This window comes from Homo sapiens, chromosome 7 (assembly GCF_000001405.40).
Source record: "Homo sapiens chromosome 7, GRCh38.p14 Primary Assembly".
In the NCBI taxonomy this organism is placed as follows: Eukaryota; Metazoa; Chordata; class Mammalia; order Primates; family Hominidae; genus Homo; species Homo sapiens.
The window spans coordinates 120,994,227-121,021,027 of record NC_000007.14 but is presented as its reverse complement, the minus strand read 5'-3'; the positions used below and the strand labels follow the sequence as shown (position 1 = coordinate 121,021,027).

The window sequence follows — 26,801 nt, the reverse complement described above, 5'->3', positions numbered from 1 at the left end:
CCCTTATGGAAATGTCTTTGCTATATCATGCTGTAATGTTATACTCTCAACTCATATTAGAATGTTGCTATATGAACCAAGATATGACATCTACTTTATTTCCAATACAAATGTTGCTCTGGCTTTTGACCCATTGCATAACTTACTGTTGTTTACTCAATACTCCCTTTGAAAAAATTGTTTTAAATTTCTCATTTGAGCATGTGGGAAGTTAGGGGGATGAATCATAATGGTTCCTTCTTCCTGAGAGTAAAACTTCTATTATTTCTCTCATTGTTCTAGGTGCTTGGAGGCTCACAGACAAAACTAAGCCTAAATTATAGTAGCTAAGTGGAATAACCAGTTTGGTGCTTAATTTTATATGTACATTTTATTAATTTTGTTATTATATATTTTATTGTAAACCTTCAAATCCTTTTTGAATAAGATTTGGTGTAAGTTAAAAAATGAAACATCTCAGTCCTAGAGTTGAATCATCAACTTGGTATGACATCAAGTTACATAGGCTTATTCTGGATACAGGAGCCAGGAAACTTTTTTCTGTAAAGGACCTAATAATAAAAATTTTAGGCTTTAAAAGCCATACAGACTCTGTTGCAATTAATCAACTCTGCCTTTGTAAAACAAATGCTGCCAAAGGCAATACAAAAGCAGAGGAGAGTGGCAGTGTTCTAATAAAACTTTATTTACAAAAACAGGCGGTGGGCCAGATTTAGCCAGTGGACTATAGTTTGCCAGCCCTTGGCAAGGATATCTATATGGTCTTTTACTTTCTGTGTTTCTTCAAAAAACATTCTATGTTAAACCCTCAAGTTATAAAAACAAGAGCAATTTTAAACTGCAAGACTGACTTTAATTCTGTAGCTTGCTTGCAGGTTTGCATTTTGTTTTTCACATGGATTATAATATACATAATTTGTTTATTTGTATATCCTTTTCAATACAATATGTGTTCAGAAATTGACAGAAAATTGCCAAATATCCACTACTCTTCAAGTATACATAAATGATTCTGATCCAATGATAAAATCTACTCTAAGTCAGAGTCCTTGATGACATACTACTTGGATTTTACCACTGGAGTAGGATTAAAACTTTCCTTTTTAGGCCACTGTGCACTGAAGCATTGATTTACTAAACAGCACTTACATGATAGGAAACAAAATAATTGAATGGTGCTTCTATCTTTTCCTTTAGAGAAGGAATTCTCCTTTAGAGAATTATATGTTCTCACAAATGCAGGGGCATAAGATATATTTTTCCAAAGCAAGGGATGGGAGAACCATAATAGTGCATATGTTTACTCTGCTAAGTTCTGTAGGCCTAAATCTGTAAAGACAATTGTTCTCATACTGTTCTCAAAATCAGTTTAAAGATGAAATGCTGTTTGTAAATATCTATGCAGTTAAATCATAGGCAATGTAATAGCATAATAGCAAGCAGACTGTTGCATTGTTTTATTCCCAAAATTAACTCTAAAAATTGTTACTCTTTGAACCAATAATATGTCCCTCAGAACAGTGCTTCCCAAACTGGGCTACACATAAGAATTACTTGTGGCTGTTTTTAACATGTAAAATCCTGGGTCGCTTTCTCTGGCTACTGCATGAGATAAAACACTGACTGGACTTTACTTTGTCTCCTTCTAGAACTCTGATAAGTTTGGACAAAGTGATTCAATCCCCACCACATACTACTCTGAAGTTAAGAACAATTAATGCCTTTAACAGATAAAAGAACTAGGGCTCAGAGAACTTAACTTGCGTAAGTCATATGTTCATAGCCCTAAAATCTCTCCCAATAGAGACATCAACTTCTCTTATGTCACTAGAAAGGAATTAACCAGTGGGTGGGGTGACATAACACCCATATTCTAATGTAGGACTCGAAACTGCCTACTTCTTCCTTTTCAATAAGTGTCTAGTATATAAGTCATAGGAAAACTAAATCAAATACAAAACTCAAAGTTACTCTACCAGTAAATATTATATTTAATAGTGGAGTATTTCCTATCTGGCTTATGACCATTTTAGTTTTGCTGATTTTTATCCTATTATGTTACTCAAAAGGTTAAAAAAGAATGACTCCAAGCTGGAAAGGGGCCATGTGTCCTTCAAAGGATGGTGCAAAGTGAGTGACTTTAATTCTGTAGTTTGATTGCAGGTTTGCATTTTGTTTTTCGTGTGGATTATAACGTGCATAATTTGAAAGTGCAATATGTATTCAGAAATTGACAGAAAATTGCTAAATATGTACTACTCTTCAAGTATACATAAATAATTCGGATCCAATGATAGAATCTACTCTAAGTAGATTTTAGAGGAGAATGGGATGGATCAGGAAAGGACAGGAAAGCAGGTGAAATAGGTGAAATAGAGAAAATACCTTCTATATTTATTGTCCTAGGATGAAAAATACATTTTATCAAAGTGTCAAAACTGCACCTGGGTACTCAGTAACATTTGTGAGAGTATCTGTTTTGTTTTTAATGTAATATTTTCAAATTGCAGGTTAGTAAACAGCAGAAAATGCTGTGGTAAAAGGAAGTGGAGTAGGGTTCTGGATTATTCTAAATTGTTTCCTCTTCCCCCAGGCTGCTCAACTTGGGAAGGTTTCATTTAAATATTCCCACTATAGTTTCATATTCTCTGTTGATATACACATGGTAAAAATAACCATGAGATGAATATGTGAAACTAAAGCAAAACAAATTCTGTAAGAATCACATTTCTAGGAAATATTGTTTTGTAGCAAGTGCCTCAATTCAAACATAATTTATAGATTAAATTTGTGGCATGGAAAATAGGCTGCAATAAAAATGTTTTCTTTTTATACAATAAATCATCAAGGAAATGTTAGATTATAGTCACAACTCTTTTTTAAAAAAAATTTCAGGTATTTGATGCATATTGTTCTCATAGTAAAAACTACAAAATCAAATAAAAAAACAAAAATCAATGTTCCATACTCATGAAATTGTGAAATTGCTACCCTTTCTTGAGACCTGTCCAGTAATAATATCTTATTATACACAGTAAAAGAATGCCAAGACAGAGGTAGGATTTAGATGTTTTAAAAGCTGTGGGAATGTGGGAAAAGGAAACCAAATCAGCATTTACACTGACAAATTCTAGGGACACTATATAGTTATCTTATGCCGCTGGGCCCAGCAGTTCCTTTGGCTGCCATATTCTATTGCCTTCAGGCTGTTTTTGCACTTCCTTGATATTTGGAAGCTGCAGAGTAATTCTCCTTTTTGTGGTAAAACTGACCCAAGAACATCAAGGGAAAGAGGAGATATAATCCATCTGTTTTGCAGCTGGAGAAAATAGAAAACTAAAGTTAAATTCAAGTTGAAATGTACAGATAATCCATGTTGTGCCCATAGAAAGTCAGTAGCAGCAACAAGAAGGCAGGGAAATATAGGAATTTTAGAAAACAGTAGCATGTTATCAGGGCCATTCTGCACGGCTCCAAGAGCATGGGTCCCATGGCAGTGTGCAGTAGTTATACAATCACCCCTTTAGTGATGGGATGAAATATTTTGTTGAATGAAAGAAATATTAAACATTTCATATTTTTTTCTTTATACTAATAGCTATTCTGATAAATAGGTTTCTAAGTATCATTTATGGGTATCCCAGGACTCTAGATTGGTCTTACATAATAGAGCCAACACCAGTGAAAATATAAGGTTTGCAAAGTTTCTTTTCAGATCTCCATAATACTCCAGAGCTTTCCTATTTTGTTTTCTTTTCCTCATTTGCTCCCAGAAGCTCAGTGCTTTAGATTTCCACACTACTCCTAGAAGGCAGTGATGACTAAATAGAATAAACAAATGCCTGTGTCCCCATGATCCAGGCTCTGCGTATTTTAAGACCTTCTTTCTTCTCATCAAAGCAGATCTTCTGGGCTCTGTTCCCTCAGAGTTTCTTCTAAGTAGCTCACAGTTTCACTGCCAATGTGATAAAGGATAGCCATGGCTAAATAGTCCCCCAACCTTCTCAGAAACATCTTCCCAACTTGCTTTCATTCATTCGCCAGCACAAACCAGCAAGGGGGCACCTAACTGAAGGAGTGCTGTGATGATGGCAAGATCATTCTGAAAGCTACTGTAATACCAGGATCTGACTCTTCTCCCCCAAAGGAACCAATGGCTGAGAGCACTTAACTCAAATTGCTTCTCCTCCTCCCCTTTTAATAAATAGGAAAATAGATATATTGTACAATCATAAAGAGAAAAATCTGATTTGCTTATTCTGAATGAGGGTTCTACATTATTGTAGCTCTCAAAATGATAGGTAAGTGCAGGATTATGGACTAAAGGAGAGATTGAAGTATCAAAGAGGTAAAAAGCCAGAGCAGAGAAAGTGAGAGTTGAAACACAGGTATCACCATCTGTCCATCCCTCACACCAGATGTAAGATGCGAGGTGAGTCACTTCAGCCAGTAAGGCCTCAGTTTCCTTTTCTGCAATCTGGGTTAGGGGTTGGAATTAATATTTCTTAATCTTAGGATGCTTGGCAGCTATAGTGTAAGTTAAATGTGACCATGAATACAGAATATAGCATGGAATCTGCCACAGTTACTTGTTCAAGAAACGTTAGGTCTTATTGTTATTGCCCTTTTGACTCTCATTATTTACTCAACTTTCTTTGCAAATAACTTGTTTAAAAACTTGTCTTTTATTATTCTCTCCAAATGACAGAAATAATATACTAATGGTACATATGATCAATATCCATACTTCTTTCCTATTTAGAGCCAATCTGTGAATCACATTTAAGCTGGCTTCTGGAAACAATTTCCAGCACATTCTACTTGCAGTCAGATGAAGCTGCAATTTTCTTAAAATATGAAGCAGTTTGGGTGCGGGGCAGAACATGTATTCAGTCTCATAAACATGAACATATTTTATGTAGCATTTAAACATGAACTATACAACTCCAAAATGCTACAAAAATATAAATGAAATAATTTCAGGAATAAAGAGACACAGTTAAAGAAAAATAGAGGGGAAGTTAAAAAAAAGAGATAAGTTTTCTATGATGTGAGAAAGTTGGTCATGGATAAATATTTGTTTTTATAAATTTTTTTAGAGGGAGATAGTAGCACATTCTAGAAATTGTTCAACATTATATGTCAAGTGACTTTGGCAGTTACTTCTCACTATTCTGACCTTGTTCTAGTAGCCCCGGCCCTAGGCCAGCATTGAGCCTTTCTTCAGCGATGACAACCGTATAGCCATGTTGAGTCAGAATGTGCTGGTGTAGCTGAAGCTCTGTTTTGCTGTAGAAAGGAGGCCTGTAGAGTATGGCCCTTCGGCCATGGCTGCCAAAGTGTGTCTCCATTGATTCTTTGACCTAAGAAAAGAAGGCATAAAAATTCAATATAAAAAAGTAGTACATTTCCCTTGAAGGACATCATGAATGCAAATCAAGGGCTATTTGGGAAGTTATTCTAAAGTTTTTCTCTAGAAGTGAAAGGCAGTTTCTCTGAAAGGCTGACAAGGACAAAGATGACCTCATATGCAAGAACTGAAGGTCAACTGAATTGTCCTCACTGTAACAGAAAGATGAAAATTTTAGGCCATAAAATATAGAGGTCCTTGGAGGAATACTGATGCATAGAAATACAGAGCTCAACTCTAGCTGAAAATACAAATTAATAGCAATGCCTTTAATCTGCACTGTGCTTTTATAAAGTAGTTCTAACTGCATTATCTTTTAATAGCTCTTTTAGGTAAATATAGTAGAGAAAACACTCAGAGAGGATGGGTTTTGTACTGAAAGGACATGGTCAGGAAGGGGTCGAGGTGAGAAGCAATCCAGAGCTCTTTGTAGATAAACAGTGCTGCAGTTTCTCTCAATTAGGCTGTAGCAAAACTGGAATGCATCTCAGTGAGGTAGAATGGGTCTTCACATGTGAGGAGAGGAGAACTACTGAAGTATCATAATTCTACGTTATTCCCTCAATAGTTTATTGCTCTTTCATATAAATATTCCTCTTTCTCACAATGGAAATTGAAATTCTAATAACAAAGGGGATTTTTGAATTGACAAGGAAAAAGAAGGCTGAAATTTAAATTCATTATAAGGCTTAAAGGCAGACACTCAGTTTTTTCTGAAAACTTGAGATTAAACCTCAGTAAAGTACAGATGATTTTTATTACTAGAAGGAGTGATGAGATTGGTTGGAGGTCAGCAAAAACCAGGAGAGAGGCTGAACAAGAGGAGCCAAAGGAGGTGGTGGAGAAGATGAGGGGGACTTGGTAAAAAACACAATTGGGAATCTAAATTACTTGCAATGACAGCTGTGAGTCAACCTGTCCATTTTATTAACCTAAAATACACTCTTTTTAATGTTGTGAATGCCATGATTTTCAGCACTTAAATGTCTTCATTATTTCCCATACTGATAGAATCAATTCTACATCATTTATTTTATTTTATTATTATTATTATTATTTTTTTTTTTTGAGACAAAGTCTCGCTCTGTCGCCCAGGCTGGAGTGCAGTGGTGCAATCTCGGCTCACTGCAACTCTGCCTCCCAGGTTCACACAATTCTCCTGCCTCAGCCTCCCAAGTAGCTGGGACTACAGGCACCCGCCACCACGCCTGGCTAATTTTTGTATTTTTAGTAGAGATGGGGTTTCACCTTGTTAGCCAGGATGGTCTTGATCTCCTGACCTCGTGATCCGCCCACCTCGGCCTCCCGAAGTGCTGGGATTACAGGCGTGAGCCACCGCACCCGGCCCAATTCTACATCTTTATTAAGGAACACAAGATCATTTAACATATACCCTGCCTTCCTTCTCTGGTCAGATCACATCACACTCTTAATCATCTTTATCCCTGACCCACAACCTGCTCCTTTATACATCACTATTCCTTCCACCTACAATTCCTTCCTCTTTTCGTTATTTCACTTATCAAATTCCAAATCAACTCTCAATAGTCAAACATTATCTCTTACGGAAATTTTTAATTGAAATGCATACTTTCATTAGCACTCACGAAAGGAAATTACATTTTTCGCATATCAGCCCTTTAACAGCCAGGCCTGCATTGTTCATGTCTCTCAAATGTCTATCCCAAGACATGATATATGGTACATGCTTAATAAATGAAGATATTTAGTAAATTAATGAATTATAGCACCTATCAAAATCTTTGAAGATGCATGTTGAAAGAAAGAAGAAACAGGGTTAGATTGTAAATCCTTTGAGGACAGGAACCATATCCTATTTTTTTATTGCACACAAACTATTGCTAGCTGAAAATTCATAGACAGAGCATAGAGTAGTTCAGGAGGACACAAACTCTGCATCTAAACTGCTGGATTCAAATCACCTGGCTGCACCAGCATTATTTGTGTGACTTCAGACAATACTTTCCTCTTAAGGTGCTATGAAGATTAGACAGTTAATACTTGTAAAGTGCTCAGGACCATGCCTGCTATGTAGGAGGCGCTATGAGGTATTATATGTTAATAATAATATATCACAAAGAACAATGAGTCTGGAAAAACTGCTTGTGAGTTTGTGCTCTGCCTGGCACATGTTAACATAGTAGCTTTCTATATGTGTGATGAACATAATGAAAAAGAATAGAACTGTAGCTAATCATACCTTCTGTATGTGCTACTTTGGGAGAACAAGATTGATTAGATATTTTCCTTTGTTAAAACACACTGTGCTTTATTGATGAGAAAACCATTTAAATGCAACAATTTAAGAGAAAGTTGGGACACGATTCTCCCCCATTGTTATAAATGTTAGCAATAATACATTTATAAGGAGTGTTTGAAACCAAATACACATTGAGCCTTTGGACACAGGAGTTAGAGGGAACTGAGTAGCCTGTAGAAAGCCAAAGTAAACAAACAAGTGTCTAGGTGAAAGGGGAAGACAGATGCTTCCCAATATATCGGTGTCACTCAAGCAAACCCACTGTATCCAGAATCCCCATGTCACATTTTCTTCTGTAATCACAGGATGCTCCTCTCTATTACAGCTGGCTCAAGTACAAAAGGGATTTCACACAAGGAAGGGATATTTTAAAACTTTGAGTAGTTTTTATTTTGAAAGATACCATCCTCTTTTCCCCCAGTCAAGATCAATTTAAGCAAGAACAATGTAACTTTTACTAATATACCCTGTAGAAGGCATATTCTAAATAAAGTTTAATTATTGGCCATATTTGGTAATAACCATCATAGCATAGACTGAAATTTTAACCCACATCTCAGACTATAGAGAGTAAATAGGAAATGAGCTTGTCAGTAGAATTACGTTGTATTATCCTGTAATACAAACTGCTGCTGTCCTTGTCATATTTATAACACACTGTATCAGCAGAATGGCCCAATACCAAAGGGCAAGAACAGTTTTAGCCGGTCTGACAACAGGTGCACACATTGCGTATGTGAAATTAAAACGATGTGAACAATTATGTCAACCGCACTAGCAAGTGCGAGATCATCAAATGCTAATAGCAGCACTTTTAGAAATAAGAGGTCCTGATTATTCCCACAATTCCAAAGGTATATTTTTAATGGAAGAGAATACATTTCACCTGGCCACCACTACAACAACTTCACTTGACACAACACTGCTGGCCCAGAATTTAGAAAAGAATGAGTGTTACATAATGTTAATTCTGAGTGTTCACTTGCCTCTCTCTCATCTTGAGAGAGTTGCAAAATATTTCCTTAGAAATCCCTTTGCTAGACTACATAAAAGTTGTTTTATAACTGGACACTTTTTATTTTTACTGAAAGGATGTCAAAATCTGAAAACTTTATGCCATCTGAGATAAAGCAAAGGACAGAATGTTGTCATAAAGTACTGGGAGCATTGGATGCAGCAAAGTAGAGTAAAAAGAGAAGATTGGGAATCAAAAATCTGGATTTGAATTCTGGCCCCATCACTTGCTTGCTTCATCTACTGAGCTAAATTAATTAATCTACACACATCAGAGTTTTCTCACATGTGTAAATGAAGTAACAAATCCTACTATATGAGGTTGTATTGGGAATTAAATGAATTTTCAATATGAAAGGGTCCAACGTGGTGTCTCACCAATAAATTATGTTAAATATATGTAAATAAAACTGAGTAATAATATTATATTGTAACTTTATATTCGAAATTCCATAAGCCTTTCAATTAATTTGGTTTGATCTATGTCCTAAAAAGCATTTTTGCAATAATGTGTATGATTCCATATACCTGATATATGTTTTCCTCTACAGGAGCGATTATGTTTTAATGCATAAATATAATTTGTTTACTTATTAAATTTATTTGATTTTTTTCCTGGGCCTCCCATATCTTGGAAACTTATGTTTATTTTCTGTCTCTCCATACCAGGATGGAAGCTAAATGAAAGCACATGTTTTTGACCATTTTGTTCACTTTTGCTTTCCCAGCCTAAAAACAGTACTTGGCATATAAGAGACACATAATAAATATTCTTTGAATGAGTGAATACAAACATCTTTTCCTTCAATGTGTAGAAGTCTTTGTTATAAATACAGCCATGGAAGACTGGGAACAGAAAGTGGTTAAGACTTGTATTAACAAATTTATTTCAATAGAATTGTAAATACTAGCAAGAATGACAAATATAGAGTTAAATATTTAAGCAAAATAATGAATTTACAGTAAAAATTGAATAAAGAGCTACTTTATAAAAGTACTATATTTCTCAGTTACTTACACATTTAAAAATCTTTACTAAGACTTACCGTGAAGCCAAGAAATATAGCTCTTCAAAATATAGTAAGGCTGAAAAATAAAACTTGTTTTTTTTTTCACATAGCAGAAAGATTTTTTTCTGGATTTATTAAAGTAGCCATGTATTTATGACATCTTTTGATGTTCAAATACAACTCATATAGTAGACTTTGGATGTGTGTTATATATGACTAAAAGTTAAATTGCCTTCCTGGTCCAGATTTTGGCATTTTAGAAATATTATAGAGTCTATCATAGTGAATTATGTGTTCATTTTTGCACTGTAAGAATAAAATACAGATTCTTTTCCCCACTGGTGAAATGTACTCTTATTTTAGGGAATGTAAGAAGTAAATGGAAGGAATTTTCTAGGATCTATATCATATACATTTTCTATTTAAAACTTATGTTATAATTGCAGGACACTTTAGGGACCACAGGTTTCTGGATATGCAAGGTGAGGCTTGAAAGCATGTCCCTCTCCAAATGAAGCTTTAGTGTACTTCTGTTTGCATCTTACAGCTGACTTAACTGAATCTCAAGCTGATGATGGGAGGGCTACACATTTCTCAGAACTACTCCAGATCACTGAGCATCTTCTGACTGTACTCCCAAACCGTACTTTGGGGCTATCCCAACCTTCAACATCTAATGATAGGCAAGTTCACTCACCTGTGGATTTATATACAAATAAGAGAGATAAAAAAGTAATAAAGTTTGCTTATCAAAAATGTATTCCTGCAGGGCGTGGTGGCTCACGCCTGTAATCCCAGCACTTTGGGAAGCTAAAATAGGAGGATCACTTGAGGTCAGGAGTTCAAAACCAGCCTGGCCAATGTGGTGAAACCTTGTCTCTACTAAAAATAGAAAAAATAGCTGGGCATGGTGGTGTGCCTGTAATCCCAGCTACTCTGGAGGCTGAGGCAGGAGAATGCTTGAACCCAGGATGTGGAGGGTGCAATGAGCTGAGATCGTGCCACTGCACTCCAGCCATGGTGACAGAGCGAGACTGTCTCAAGAAAATTTTTAAAAATTAAAAAAAAATGTATTCCCAATAGAGCTTTGATGAAATAGCACCCACTTAAACAGGCATCACCAAAACCCATTATCACCTATATCCCTCAATGTAATTTTCCCAAGGGCACACTTCACAATGTATAACTATATATTATTTGTTTAATGTCCACTTCTCCTACTACTCTGTTCCATGAGGGCCTAGATTTGTCTGCTTTGGCCATTGTTGTATATGCAACTTACTGCCAGGTTCTAAATAAGAAGGAATGGATGAATAAATGAGCAAATGAATGAATACATAAATGTAAAGTATGAGCTTATTTTTTATAAATACATGCATGCCCTTTAATTATTTAACTATTAGGTGGAAAAAAATCTACCAGAATATTTCAGTCAAAGGTTCAATATTTGCATCTCAAACCATAAAATATTCATGACCTCTTCATCTCCAGTGACTCTCCTCCACTTCGTTTCAAACACCTGCTCCAATGGCCATATCTTAGACATTGTGGTCTCAGAACAGCCCCTCCCCTGAAATTATAAAATGAGATATTCCATTCTTTGATTGCACTGAAGTGTCTGGCTCTTCTCATTTATTTCAAATTTATTAGTTCTTTAGTCATTAGTCTTTTCACCTAATGTGAACTTTTTTTTTTTTTTTTTTTTTGAGACAGGGGCTGGCTCTGTCACCCAGGCTAGAGAGCAGTGGCATGATCTAGGCTTACTACAACCTCCTCCTCTCAGGCTCAAGCCATCCTCCCATCTCAGCCTCCCAAGTAGCTAGGACTACAGGCGCATGCTACCACATCCAGCTATTTTTTAAATATTTTTTGTAAAGATGGGGCTTTTACCACCTTGCCAAGGCTGGTCTTGAACTACTGGGCTCAAGCAGTCCATCTGCCTCAGCCTCTCAAAATGCTGGGATTACAGGCATGAGCCACTGTGGCCAGCCTGAACTTTCTACTGGCCTCCTTTTTCCTCAGCCTCTCTCTCTGCAGTTCAGATTCCATGGTCCAACACTCCAACCACCCTCTATCTAATATATTAAATTTCCTTGCTGTGCTGCACTTCCTTCACATCCACATGGCAAAACATCAAACATGAAAGAGCTTGGAATCCACAGTAAATCCTCTGCCTTTAAGGAGCTAACAGCCCACCAAGAAAATCAGACATAAGCAACTAGTTATAATAAACTAGGATAAACCCAGTAAGTCAGGAGGCATAGCATGCTGTGGAAACACTGAGCTAAGGGACCTGAGGGAGATCTCAGCAACGTGCCTGTCCTGCACCTGGGCTGGGATTGCTGAGAGATACTGAAGAAAAGCACCCAGTGGGACAGATTTTGGATGGCAAAACCGATTCTGCCTCTGTCCTCTGGCTTGTTCTCATCATTCTTTCATTTGTCTATTTAACATTTTTGAGCATTTTCTAGGTAACAGGCATGGTCTTAGGGTCTGGGAATGCAACAGTGAAGCACCCTATCCAGGTTCTAGCCCTCACTAGGAGGGCTAGTGTTTTGCAAGAAGAGCAATAAACCATTAATGAAATCACATAATTTCCTATGGAGATAAGAGTTCTGGTTTGTTAAAGAATGATCCAGGAGCTCTTTTAGATGATTTGGTGATTAGTCTTTTGATTCTGATTAATCCAAATTAATCCAAATTAATCCAAAATGATTAATCCAAAGTAAGTCTATTATAACTAATGCTTGCCTATATTGTGAATATTGTGTATGAAAGAAAATAAGTAATTAAATTAAATCAGTAATTTATCTTCCTATCTTTTCCTTGCCTTGAAGAATTGTCTTTTTTCTCTTGAAGGTCCTTGCTGTTGACCTTGAAGGCCAGTACCATAATACTTTTTATTGTGAGTGGCAAATAGCGTCAGATAGGAAACAAGAAATGACTGGCAATGATGATAAAAATGGAGCAATGCAATGCTACTTATTATCTTGTTAAGTAGCTAGTAGGAAACCTAAATGCGGTGAGTAGTGGAGAATTTAAAGGTTGATAACTCTATGCTGGTCTTTATACGTAGGTCCGACTTTGAAGAACTTTGATTTGGTTTACTAAAGCCATGTCAGGAAGGAGGCAGATGAGGAAAACTGGACTTAGTATAGACAGAAAAAGAGTGCTTTTCTTGTTTTGTTTTCTGGATGGATGAGTACCCTGATAGAATTTCAGAAGGCGAGACTTTTACTACCTGAATCGCAGTATTTTCTAAAAACCGCAAGCCACCCCTTCCATATTGCAGAAAAGAGGTTAAAAAAAAGAGGTAAAGAAAGAAAGAAAGAAAAGAAAAGAAAACAGTGAAAGTAACCTGAGTCACTAAACCATAAGAGGGATGCCTGAGACCTGCCCTAAGGAGGCATTAAACCATACAGGGGAAGCCTGGGAAGAGAGAGAACTGTGAGGGCCTGAGCAGTGAGTTCTGTTCTATGGAGCCTGATTTGGTGTAGAAAGAGCAAAGAGAAGCAGCAACAGGATGGTCAAATAATGCTATGTGTAACTGAGAAAGAGAGAGCTAAGGTACAGAGAATGAAAACATTCCAGTATTGGAGAGAAAATTTCAGGAAAATTAATTTGTTGTGAAGACACTCAGTAAACAGAAAGGGAGTCTGTAAGCCTAGTTTCTATTAGAAGGGAAGAAGGCACAAAAGAAGAAAACAGAAGGAATAGCAGGGCAGACCCTGACTTGGACATCCCAGGCTAGAAATTAATTAATGATAAATGCTGTAATGCCTTAGTTGCCTTAGTTCACATCTGAAATACTGATACCTTATAGATCGGTCATGATTTTTCCTTATCAGAAGACTTTCCATCAAATCTATAAAACAGTAAACATATAATCTGAAGGTAAACTCTGAGAATTCCTGGGTAACCTCAATGTTTAATGCCCATTCTCCTCACTCAAAACTTTGGGACCATACGGTGCCTTTCTGAAAAAGGTGTACAACACAGAGCTGTGTAACTGAAGGAAGAAGAGAGGAGAGAATGGAGAATGGAAGAGTGCAAGTTGCAAGACAAAAAAAAAAAAAAAAAATGCAACCTGAACAGTTTCGCAACGCTTCAAACTCCAGCAAATGTAGAATCATGCTGGGTATAGCTTCGGCTCCAGTGAGGCTCCTTCCTTCCCCAAGCTAACCCCTACGCATAGGGTGAATCTTGGAGGCAGAAAGAAATTAAAGGCAAAACTAAGAACACAAGGACAGTGTTTTCTCCTAAAGTGCATATCTAGGATCACCAGCTGTGACTTCTAGCCTTCCTGTGCCTGGTGTTCATTGTTGTCTGCCAGCCTCCACCTCCCCTGGAATGCTCATTCGTTTCAACCAATGTGAAGGAACCTATACTCTTTCCCTTTTCTGCTTCTCCTAAATTTTCCCTTTTCTCTTTTCTGAAAAAGTATCTTTTTCAGCCTCCTCTTCAAGGCTCCTTTGAGATGCCACCCACGTTGCACAGCTGTGGGTCAGCAGTTTACTATTTACTGTAACCTCACAGACATAACACAGATCCAACTGAGATTACAAAAACACAGGGATAGCTGAGAGATGGTGGTCTTGACAGTTTCCTTCATTATGTCTGTAAGAATAAGACAGAACTTGAAAATAAGATAGAACTTGAAAAGATAAAGAGAACGTAGTTCACCTTTTTTTTTTCCTTTTTTGACACAATTTGATGTGATTCCCTATTTTGGAGCCAATGAAAATCACTCCTGAGTGTGTCCCTCTTTAGTCTCTTCTCCTTCCCTCTGCTTTCCTCTTCCTTAGACTCTTCCCCTATCCCTGTCCTGTCTTTCTCAGACACTCACATAGCACTTAACAGAAGGAAGAAGTTATTTTCTTTCTATCTCCAAGCCCTGATTGCTTTTGCTGGTGTTAAAGTAAATGCTCTCCAGCTGACTCTATGAGGTTTCTTATTGCCCTCTGAGTCTTACCACAGTGTCAGCAGTAGTTAAAGGACGTCCGTAATGAAGAAAATAGAGAATTGACAATCCACAATTATGAAATAACAAGCAGAGGACAAGGAAAGACCTTGTTCTTTTGAAAAATGTTAATATAATAGCAAGTCTCTGTCCCCTGATGCCAAAACAACAAGTTAATTCAGCAATTCAGCCTTAAAATAGTAAGTCTATACAGAGGCAATATAGCAGAAAGGAAAGAGCATTGGGGCAATTACAACAACAATATCAATACCTAAGCATCATGCGGTCGACCAAACATTTTCACAGATGCCAGAGACTCTGAATCTGAGTTTGAGGCTTTTCCAGCCACAACACAAAGCCTCCTGAATCTCAAGTCTCTATTTCCCCCAACCCCACTCATGATCAGCTGACACTAATTAAGTTCCACTTGATGAACTTCATTTTCTTCATCTGTAAATGAGCACTGACACCTTCCATCTACTTTTTGTGCTACTGTAAGAATCCAAAGTGACTCAGTTTAGACAAAAGCATTCCAAAATATGGAGTCCCACACAAGCGTAAGATATTACTAGAGAAATAGATCTTAAAGAATTGTCAGACAAAAGAACATGTTGAAAAATTAACATAGTTTAAGTAAAAGCCCTTAAATTTTTTTTAAATGGGGAATAACAGCTTTTTTTGTTTGTTCGTTTCTAAATTTTTTTATTATACTTTAAGTTCTGGGATACATGTGCAGAACGTGCAGGTTTGTTACATAGGTATACATGTACCATCGTGGTTTGCTGTACCCAAACAGTCATCTACATTAGGTATTTCTTCTGATGCTATCCCTCCCCAGCCCCCCACCCGCCGACAGACCCCAGTGTGTGATGTTCCCAGAAATACCATTTGACCCAACAATCCCATTACTGGGTATATACCCAAAGGATTATAAATCATTCTACTAAAAAGACACATGCACATGTGTTTATTGCAGCACTGTTCACAATAGCAAAGACTTGGAACCAACCCAAATGCCCATCAAAGATAGACTGGATAAAGAAAATGTGGCACGTAAACACCGTGGAATACTATGCAGCCATAAAAAAGGATGAGTTCATGTCCTTTGCAGGGACATGGATGAAGCTGGAAACTATCATTCTCAGCAAACTAACACAGGAACAGAAAACCAAACTCCACATGTTCTCGCTCATAAGCAGGAGTTAAACAATGAGAACACAAGCCTTTAAAATTTAATCATATTGTTTCATAAGCGTTCTGTCAAATTACATGTAGGATACAAAAAGGTAGTGTTTATATATGAGACATTAAATAATTTTAAAATACTAAATAAGCCATTATCTCTATGATTATTCTCTGATAAAAACTCAGTGCTAGAGCAAACATATCATTATAAAAATACATAGGGGCATGATGTCATACATACAGTGAACATACTTCTTAGATTTGGGGGCTGGACCAGAAATTAGTCCATTTGTTAATTGTACAACTACATATGACTTCATTTTTACTTTGTTATGTTCTATAAATAAATTCACACATTAGGATATTAGCCCTTTATGAAACATTACATTCTCTGTTTATCGCTCAGAAAATATGGTCACAAGTGTCTACTCTTAGGGTCTTCCAAGGGTTCCCCTAGAAATTCCTGAATTCCTTGCTTTAATTCTCCATTCAATTTTCATTCTTCTCTATCTACTTTCCCAACCACAAAATGTGCTTCTCATCCTCCCACCTCCATCCTGCCCAGTTTGTGACCTCAGTTGTTCTCCTAGCTCTGCTGTCCCCTTTGCATTTCACTTCTGCACACACACACACAGCCCAGAGTTCTGCAATGGGTCATCATGAACGAACTTGTGGCAGCCGGCCTAGAATCTCTTTCTGGCACAGAGCAAACATGTCCTCCTCTGGGCAGAGTCCAGCCTAATGGAACACCTGCCGGATGTAAGGGTAGAATTCAGGCACTGATTTAGGGATTAAGAGATTCTCCATCCACTGCCTATCCAGTCACCACATTTATACCCCCTGGAGGAGGAGGATAGGTTCTAAGCCCATTTCAACTGTTTAACATTGTCAATCCCATGCATAGCATCTCTGGCTCCTGCCTTCTCCCCTTGGCATTCAGATGCATGTAGCAACCAGTTCATCTGGATTTTCCCCAGAAATCCAGGGCTCCCTTGAGCTGAACAGATGGTTAAGGATGGATAGCCAACATCCTTCATGCAGGTGGCTCTGCATCTCCAGGGCAGTAAAGATCGGCTCCACTTCTTGTTGAATGAAGGGCTGCAGGATAGAGGCACATACCTGGCAAACCCAGAGAAACGTTGCCTTATCCTATTCATGGAGGGACCATGGTATTAAGAAGAATGTGGGGAAGAGGTACCACATTCCACATAAAAGAAGTAGACCAAGTTTCCTTCAGCACACATTTATGTCTGGGCATTCATTCTGTTTTCTTGCTTACTCTTATTACCCTCATGGCTATTCACTCTCCGTGGCCTTCTTATCTGGTCCTTTCAGTTTACTGGCCATTACTGACATGCAACCTTGGCTCTCCTTTGAGACAACCCTGGGTAACACTTTCTCCAACCTGACTGAGATCCAAGAACTCTCCCTCCCATGCTTTCCCTCGAGAGGTGCCTCCACTCTACCCTGTCTACCTGTTCCTGCTCATGTTGCCAGATGCTGCACAATCACACTAACGTATCATAACAAAACCTCACATATTCTTTCAAAATCAGCCCTGGAGATCTCCAAATTACATATTCATTCTAGAATGTTTAAGTATCAGATGGCCAGATTCTTGCTCCTACAATCAAAAATTGGCAGGAAATGCCAATATCTAAAATTCCCAAATATAAGCACTCTTTCCTAAAGGAAGGAATAATACATGATCTAATACTGATATCAAGTTTTCAAGTCCTTAAACTCTCTAATCCTTTCTTTATGGGATCAATTGTGTTGCAGAATAGCTTTTGGCTTTCTTCTGTGGCTGGCTGGAAAAGGAATTTCCTTTCCTAGAGTTCTAGTTTATTCTTAAAGGGTCTAGCAGTAGGTCTCAGTCAGGTCTAAAGTGGAAATCATGTCTTAGATGGTCAAACAAATTGCTTTGGTCTTCTTAGGAAGGCAGGAGGTGAAGACATCTTTTGAATGAAGGAAGACCTGGGTGGGGACGTTGTTTGGGAATAATCAGAGTTTAAGAGCTGAATGGAAAATACGAAAGAAGAATTCAAGGACTGCTGACCACCACAGAGAGTTCTATACTGAATACGCAATGAACTTACACTAGATCTTGTTCATCCATTCATTCGACATATTATGTGCCAGGAATTGTGTAAACTTGGTCTCTGCCCTGATCCAGCTGACAGTAATTTATTGGAAGGTTTTGTTTTAATGCTAGATGTCACAGGGTATGGTTACATTACTATAAATGCTTGGTTACTTTGGAAATGTGCTTAGGATTACGTACACATTATTGGATAATGAGACATACTCCTATTTATATCCCAGAAAAGGGGCTTCCTTTTAAGATATTATTTTACAAGAAAAATAGGAGACAATTCTAGCTTGTGAAGTTTATATGTCTGACAGAATATATTTCCGCAAATACAGTTTATCTGCTCTCAGGCAAAACAAGTTTGTTAAAAGCAAACATGGTCATACTTTAATCATTGTTTTTTTAAAAGAAACATAGTACACTCACCTCCTTTCTTCCCTATCTTCATATACTCCCCCACAAGAAAACTAACTCTGCCTCAAACCTATCTGCTTTTAAAATAGCTTATGTAGTTCTAAAATACTTAGATAAGTAGGTTTAGCTTGTATGATTGGGAGTTTCAGATGTGTTATTAATGTTTTCACTGTTTATTCAGAAAAACAAAAGATAGTTCTTAAAGATAATAACAGAGAGGGGAGTAAAGGGAAACATTCAAAATCACTTCTGCCCTCTGGGTGTGTCCAGTAGGGAAGGTTTACTGCTCAGTATGAAAGTCAGCTTTCTGATTGATGCTTTGCTAAGGTCGGGTAGTTCCTTCACTACTATAGAAAAGTTAATTTCCTGTTCCATTTTTCCTGAAGCATTTGTGCACTTTGGCTAAATTAATACTAGATTTTCCACTAGGGAAGAAGTAGGCTTAGGGCTGTAGCTATTGGAATGCTATTATACTTCCTATTGCTTATTAAAGAAACAGTGAAACATCAAGAGGAAACTCAATTGTAGCAGCACAATTTTGGACTCCTAGTGGCATTTTGAAACATAACTTTATAACTTGGCATTTGTATAGCACACTATACTATAAATTTTTAATGAAAAGAGTGTTTCCAGTAATCACATTTGTGTTTTATATATATATATGTGTGTGTGTGTCTTCTTTTCCCAAGAGGCACCAAATGCAATGAGAATATTTTAATGATATCATTCTTTTGGATATGAAAATATATATTCCTCTGTCTTTTATAATCTCAATGTTTTTCAAAGTACTCTCAGCTAAAGTGTCTAATTAGATCCCATAGCACCTCTGTGACAGGCATTTCAATCCCTGGACCACAGACTAGGAAAATAAAACACAAAGAAGTCACTTGTCCATGGTCACTCAACTCTTCATTATGGAAACTGGGATTCCCCATTTCAGTCCCAGGTAATTTCCCTTTCTCTTGGAAAGGCTGAATGGGTCACGGCAGGATCTGTTTCAGATACATGAACTAATTTAACAGTTTGTTCTGGTGGTTTCTAGAAGTCTGCACCACCACCCTAACGCCACCTACTTTTTCCTATGCCAAAAGAAATAAGAAATATTATGACCCCGGAGCAATATTATTTTTTAAGTAAATTCCATTTTCTTCCCATAGTTACACATTACCATCAGGCTTCTTGCTCCACCTGACTCTTCCTAGATTGGCTACCCCAAATCCCTCTCTCAAGCATACTCAAAATATGCTCAGGTCAGCAATTACCAGCTTCAATTTGTCAAGATCAGCTGTGATGTATGTTACAAGAGACTTGCTATGAAAAGAACTAAAATATCAAAATTTATGAATAATTTATGTTTAATAAATGAGGGAAGATATGTTGCATTCTGACTCCTGGCAGTCAAAGTGACTTTCTTGAGCAGATGAGGAAGTATTATACACATCCCTGGAAACCCCGTGGAATATGCTTGCATTTGACTGTATCTATAGGTGCCAAAAAGGAAAGTGGACAAGTAGCTTCAAACATTTACCTGAGCAAAATGTACCGAAGAAAACACAGGGTGACAATCAAAAATACATGCTACATATGCATTATTGAAGAAAATATAATGTAACATATACCCAGTGCTTGTTTTTGAGATGAGAGCTTAAACCCAGCTTCTCAGGGGAAGAAAGGACACACATAATATTTATTGAACATTGACTCTGGCCAACAACCATGCTTGATGCTTTCAAACATATGATTTTTATTCAGTTCCCACAAATAGGGGTTAGTTACGTTTTCCAACAAGAGAACTGAGGATTTAAAAATGTAGATAAAATTTACCAGTTGTCCTATAGCTAGGATAAAGCTGGAATTTGGACCAACGTATTTCACAACATACCCATGATCTGCTAGGCTTCTTATTCAATATACTTAACAGGCTTGAGATTGAAAGCTGTGCTGAAGATTGTAAGATCTATTCTCAACAGTCATATGCAGAGTTACAGAGTTTCCCTCTTACCAAGTTACTCTGACTGGCCTGCACTATAAATGAACGGTAGGGGTTCCTACTGAGAACACCCAGATAAAGGTTAGGGACACCAAAGGTAGTTATATGTCAAGGAACATGATAAGGCCCATTCTGCACTGCCAAATCCATGTGTTCTTCTTGATAATTATTTTAATCCATCTATTATTTTGGATCGTAAATACCCCTAGCCTCTATTAGTGAATTTAATTGAAAGTTGAATAAAATTTTTTAAGATCCTTATACATGGCCGACTCAGTCTTTTATTGTCACGTTTCTTTCCGAACTCCATATGTGGTAAGTCAAAATGCTTAATGTTACATTTTGAACAAGTCTCCAAAAAGTGCAAAAGTTGACAAAGTTCTGTTTACCTTGCAAATTTCCAAATTTGGTGTAGTTTCTGCCACAGAACGTAAATCCTATGTTAGAACATGAGCTCATTCTTTTAGTGAGAACAGATCCCTTGGAAAAAATATCTAAAGGAAGCCAAGGGGGAAAACGAAACCAAAACATTCCTTTCACCCCAAAAGGCCACAGACTCAGAGTTGATAACAGGAAGCCCTTTTTATAATGTCAGTGTATTTAGTGCTTTCCATTTCAGAGGGTTTATCTTATATGAATTTTCAATTCCATTTAAACAAGAAACAGAATTGCTTAGAGGGAGAAAGAAGCAGAAGTTCCTGCCACTATCTGAAAAAACAAGAGAGAATGACACTTATAAAATGATTAATTCTTTGATACATATGACATTTAATATAACTTGTTGAAATTTGAGCTTCATCAAGCCTTCATTAAAATGTATCTAATGTAAACAAATTTGAATTTGTTTAAGTTCTCTCAGTATGAGCAATTTTTCACCCATATGCATATTTCATTATAAAAATTTAACATCGCTCTAATCAACTGTCTCAGATAAATTCACAAACATTAAATGCTCATCAGGCAGCCTAACTAATTCTATGGAAGTTGCGTACCTGTTAGTGTGTTGATAACATCTCTTGAGAGCCTCGTATACATAAACTCCTGTATTTAAATTCCATCAGCAAGATTTTAAAATCTACATCTTCCAATCCAGTTACAATATAAAAATTTATAAAAGGAATGGCTCAATTTTAGGTAGGATCAATCTGTTAAAAATGGAAATTCCTTAACAGAAATAGAGGTTAGATGATGGTGACAATGAGGATAAGAAAGAAGAGATGTAATTAGAAAGGCACAATGATTAGGAAAGGATGTTATTTTTATTATTATTATGGTAGATACTTGAGAATGTTTATAGGCTAAGGACTTCAATGAGACAAAGGAGCTGATGATAACGAGAAATCAATGATAGTTAATTAATCAAAGATAATTAATCAACTTTAATGTAGAAGTGGCATGATGATTACCATTAGCCAGAAGTCCAAGAGATAGTACAGTAAAGAGATCAAGGGATACTTGTACAGGAAAAAGGAGAAGTGGAGGACTTTTGAGTTCAGCAAGAGAAAGAAAAGAGGGAGAAGGAGTTCCTCTCATATCTTGCCCTGCTCTAGAGTTGGCAAATTCAAATTCATCATTCATTTATTTATTCATTCATCGACTGAATATTTATTCAATGCTCACTATGTATCAGAGGCTGTTTTTACACTGGGGATGTAGCAGTAAGCCAATCAACTAAAGCATTTGATCTGAAGGAGCTTATATTCTGTGTAGAAAGACAATAAACCAATGAATAGATATGTTACTCAGGGTCCAAAATCTTAATCTCTTTCCTCCTATCTGCACTGAACTCACTCCTCCCCATCCCCAGCTATAACATGCTGTTCATCTCAGCATCTCAGACTTTAAAAAAAAAAAAAAGGATTCCACAAAACTGAAGACTTGCCTATAAATAAGCAAGTCTGACGTTGAGTGATATATCAGCCTCCTTAAGTTTGGTTTTGTTTCAAAAGATTCATTTTACTGTGAAAAGGCAACAGCTTAGAGGCTGGGGGATAGAGAGAGAAACTCAACAAAGCTTTCATCTCAGACATTTCTTATCCAAAGACTTATGTTGATTGCAGCAATTATTTATTGCTCACTGACTTTGTGAAGGCCAAATGTTAGGGTCTATAGGGTCCACAGAGAGGAGGGAGTCTTCAAGGAAATTAAATAATAATTATTTTCATAGTTAATATTTATTGAGTGCTTTCTATCTGCCAGACACTTTAAGTGCTTCATGTGATTTATCTCATTTAAGGATCATGTTAGCCTGGGGAGTTGGTGATAATATATCCATATTCAGGTAAGGAAACTAAATCCTAGAGAGGTCAAGAAATGTGCCCAAGGTAACAAGTTAATAAATGGTATTAATTTGAATGCAGTGTTCATGTACTTAACTATTCTGCCTTCCCAAATTTATTAGTTTCCTAGAGCTGCTGTAACAAAGTATTCGAAGCTGGATAGTTTAAAACAAGAGAAGCTTGCTTACTAAATCTCGTAATTCTGGAGGCTAGAAGCCTGAAATAACAGTGTCAGCAGTTCCTCTGAAACTTGTGGTGGAATCCTTCCTTGACTGTCGAGTTTCCGGGGGTTTGCCGCAATCTTTGGTGTCCTTCAGTGTGCAGCTGCATGACTCCAATCTCTGCCTTCAACATTACATGGCATTCTCCCTGTGTGTCTCTGTCTTCCTATGCTGTCCTCTTCTTTTTATTTTTTATTTTATTTTATTTTATTTTATTTTATTTTATTTTATTTTATTTTATTTTTTTTCGAGACCGAGTTTTGCTCTTGTTACCCAGGCTGGAGTGCAGTGGCACAATCTCAGCTCACTGCAACCTCTGCCTCCTGGGTTCAAGTGATTCTCTTGTCTCAGTCTACTGAGTAGCTGGAATTACAGGTGCCCGCCACCATGCCCAGCTAGTTTTTTGTATTTTTAGTAAAGACAGGGTTTCACCATGTTGGCCAGGCTGGTCTCAAACTCCTGACCTCAGGTGATCCACCCACCTTGGCCTTCCAAAGTGCTGGGATTGCAGGTGTGAGCCACCACGCCCCATCTACTGCCTTCCTATAACACCAGTCATATTGGATTAGGGGCCACCTTACTCCAGTGTGACCTCATCCTAACTAATTATATCTGCGATAACCCTATTTCCAAGTAAGGTCACATTCTGAGGTACTGGAGTTTAGGGCTTCAACATATCTTTTCAGGGATGGGGTACACAATTTAACCCATAATACCAATGAATGGAGTTAGCATATGGGGCTATAATAAAATAGAAAGGACATAGGTCTCAGTCCAGTCCTGTCCACACTATCAACTTGTTATGTTACTTTGAGAGAGCCACTTTCTTTCTGTGACCTTCTTTCTCTTCACTTAAAAAAGAAAGATGTTGAACTTAATCATCTCTAACTTATTTGCAGTTCTAACATTCTAATGTTCCTTCATTTATAAATAGTTACAATGAAACATAAGTTTTATTAGGGATGTTTAAGCACACATCCACTTATGGAGATAAGGGCTGCTATAATGAAGGAAGTGAAACTCCATAGGTTCTCAAAAGCTTTAAGAATGATCATGAAGATTTCTAGAGGTATTGAGTAGAGCAGGCTCCCTGGAGGAGACTCCTGACAGAAGGAGAGATGTGGGAGTTTAGAAAATAGGCAGGCTGTTGGGTGGATTATGGATTATGGATTACACATAGAGACAGGGTAGAGATAAGGCTGGAAAAGTATGTTGGAACATGCCAGGATCAGTGTGGTTTCTACTCAATTGAGTGCGCTCAACGTTACAACTCCTGAAAGCTTTCAGCAGAGGTATTAATGGGACCTGTGCACAGACTGCCTAGAATATGCAGGCAGATGGAGGGGTAACTGGTTAAACCACTGAATGAGTCTAGGTTAGTGACAACAAGGACACAGCATTGAGATTGTGAAGATAGATGCTAAGATTTTGGAATCTGATGAACTCTTATCTGAATTAATTTGGAGGACTAGAGAAAATTCCACTTTACATAGCCATAAGGGCTGTGCTCATGTGATATTTACTAAAATTATAATAGTATAATAAAGGGCTAAATGCACAGCATGGTCCCAGAGAGAAATTAGAAGTTAGAGCTAAAAAAGGAGCACCATGTCTACAGGCAATATATAAACCACAAGGAGGAAATCCAGATCTGGGCCAGATGCCAAGGAGAAGAGGAAGCAACATGCAAGCTGGTTGAGACTAATGTTTCTGAATAAGGGCTGTGAACAAGGCAAGAATATTTTGGACTTTGCACAACAATGTAAATATGATTAATACTACTTAACTGTATACTCACAAATGGTTAAGAGGTTAAATTTTATAATATGTGGGGTTTTTTTACCTCTATTAAAAATTTCTAAGGATAATTCCCTTTTCTTTTTTTTTTGAGACAGGAGCTTGCTCTGTCACCTAGGCTGGAGTGCAGAGGCATGATCACAGGTCACTGCAGCCTTGACATCCCTGGCTCAAGCAATCCTCCCACCTTGGCCTCTCGAGTAGCTGGGGGGCTCCAGGCACATGCCATCAATCCCAGCTAATTTTTTTTTAACTTTTTGTGGAGATAGGCTCTCCCTATTTTGCCTAGGCTGGTCTTGAACTCCTGGACTTAAGTGATCCTCCTGCTTCAGCCTCCCAAAGTGCTAGGATTACAGATGTGAGCCACCACTCCCAGAGTTATTGAAGAAGAAGAAGAAGAAGAAGGAGGAGGAGGAGGAGGAGGAGGAGAAGAAGGAGGAGGAGAAGGAGGAGGAGAAGGAGAAGAAGAAGAAGAGGAAGAAGAAGAAGAAGAAGAAGAAGAGGAAGAAGAATAAAAAAAACTGAAGAATGTTGTGGTCTTTCTAATTTGGAGCTCGCCATGTCGCTCAGTGGCAGACCTCAGATTTGGTAAGGAGCCAGGCCAGATGGATTTGGTGAGGAGCAAGGTACAGGGAAGAAGCAAGAAATATCAAAGGTGTAAAAACTATGCATCTAGGAAAATGGTGGTTGGGTGACAGGTCCTATTCATGGAAATAGGGAGGTTAAGAGGAGTCATTGATTTGGGCATGAGGTTTGTGAAATAAATTATTTAAATTTTTGTAGTATTTTATAATATTCTAGAAAAAGGTAGCAGGAATTTGAAGAGGTAGGTGATATGTCATCTGCCAAGGGTGAAAATTAACAATAGGCAAAACTGATACATTCATCAAGGAAAAGTATAAAACAAGGCAAAGATCCAAGGACCTAAGGTTGGAAATGTCTACCTGTGTCATCAGAGAGAGGAAATGAACTCGAAAAGAGACCACAAGTTTTTCAGAATAACCTTGTTGTGTTGTGGAATTCGAAAAGGAAATTTCAAGAAAGAGTCACTTCCCAATAGCAGAACATGCCTCAGAGAAGAAGGATGTAGACTGAAAATAGATCTCATTAGATTTGGTAATAAGGGGTTCACCAAGAGAGGTTTCAATAGAAATGACCAAATGCAAAGGATAAGGAATCGGGAGAGGTAACAAGGAAGTACATGCAAAGAGAACCAGTTACAGTTTCTCTGAAGGGAAGTAGAGAGACAGGGAGCATATCATATTAGGTAGATTGCCAGGTACAAAGAAAGCTTATTGTTTTATTAGTTCTACACATGTTCGCTGGCAGGAGGAAAGATTTGGAATTGGCAATATTATAAGTAATAGAGGGTAACTGTGGAGCCAATTTTGAAAAAGGTTGAAAAGGGGGTGTTCAAGAACACACATGGAAAGTAAGATTTGGCGAAGAAGAGGCATTTTGAAACAGCCTACCAACTGGTCTTCCTGCCTTCAATTCTACTCCAGTCCATTCTGCAATGTGTGTTTTCTCACTTTCTCTCTAATACACTTATGTATTTATGCCAGTCTTTGCTTAGCATTCTTCAGGGATTCTCTGTTGCCTTTGGAATAGAATCCAGACTCCTTATCATGTGCACATTTCCAACATCTAGACCCTGCTGACTTTTCTACTTTGTGTATTTGCCTTCCTGCTTCCATCAGTAACAACAACAACAACACACACACACACACACACACACACACACACACAGTATAACAAATACTTTGAATTCTCCAAATGTATCAGGCTATCCAGCTATTTCATTTCTTATTTGCATATGCAGGCTAATCTGCATGTAATACTTTTTTCTTTCTCTACCCTCTCTAGTTCCTTCTCAACATTCAAAAAGTAGTCTTGTAATTGTCAGTTTCCTATCACCGTGTTAATTTACTTGTCTGTCTCACAGAAGCTTTTATTTCTATATAACTTGTATCTCATAAAGAGGCTAATACATACAAATTGTCCAATAAATATTTACTAAATGAATGAAAATGAATAAATGAAAGATATCGGGAGGAGAAAGGGTAGAGAGGAAGCAAGGTTCTGTAGGGGATTTTTTTTTAGTTAAAGAGAAGGATTCTCAGTGAGATAATTACAACATTTTTATAT

General features: G+C 37.4%; 1 protein-coding gene across 5 annotated transcripts in view; it reads right to left on the bottom strand.

Moving 5' to 3' along the window:
* Positions 1-26,801, bottom strand: part of CPED1 (cadherin like and PC-esterase domain containing 1) — a 308,732-nt gene that overhangs the window by 276,415 nt on the left and 5,516 nt on the right. For 4 of the 5 annotated variants that reach the window (NM_024913.5, XM_047420856.1, XM_047420857.1 and 1 more), the window contains one exon: positions 5,180-5,363. The exons of the other annotated variant lie outside the window; for it this stretch is intronic. In NM_024913.5, the coding sequence (NP_079189.4) occupies positions 5,180-5,363 (184 nt within the window). The remainder of the gene's footprint in view (positions 1-5,179; positions 5,364-26,801) is intronic. 5 annotated transcript variants of the gene reach the window in all.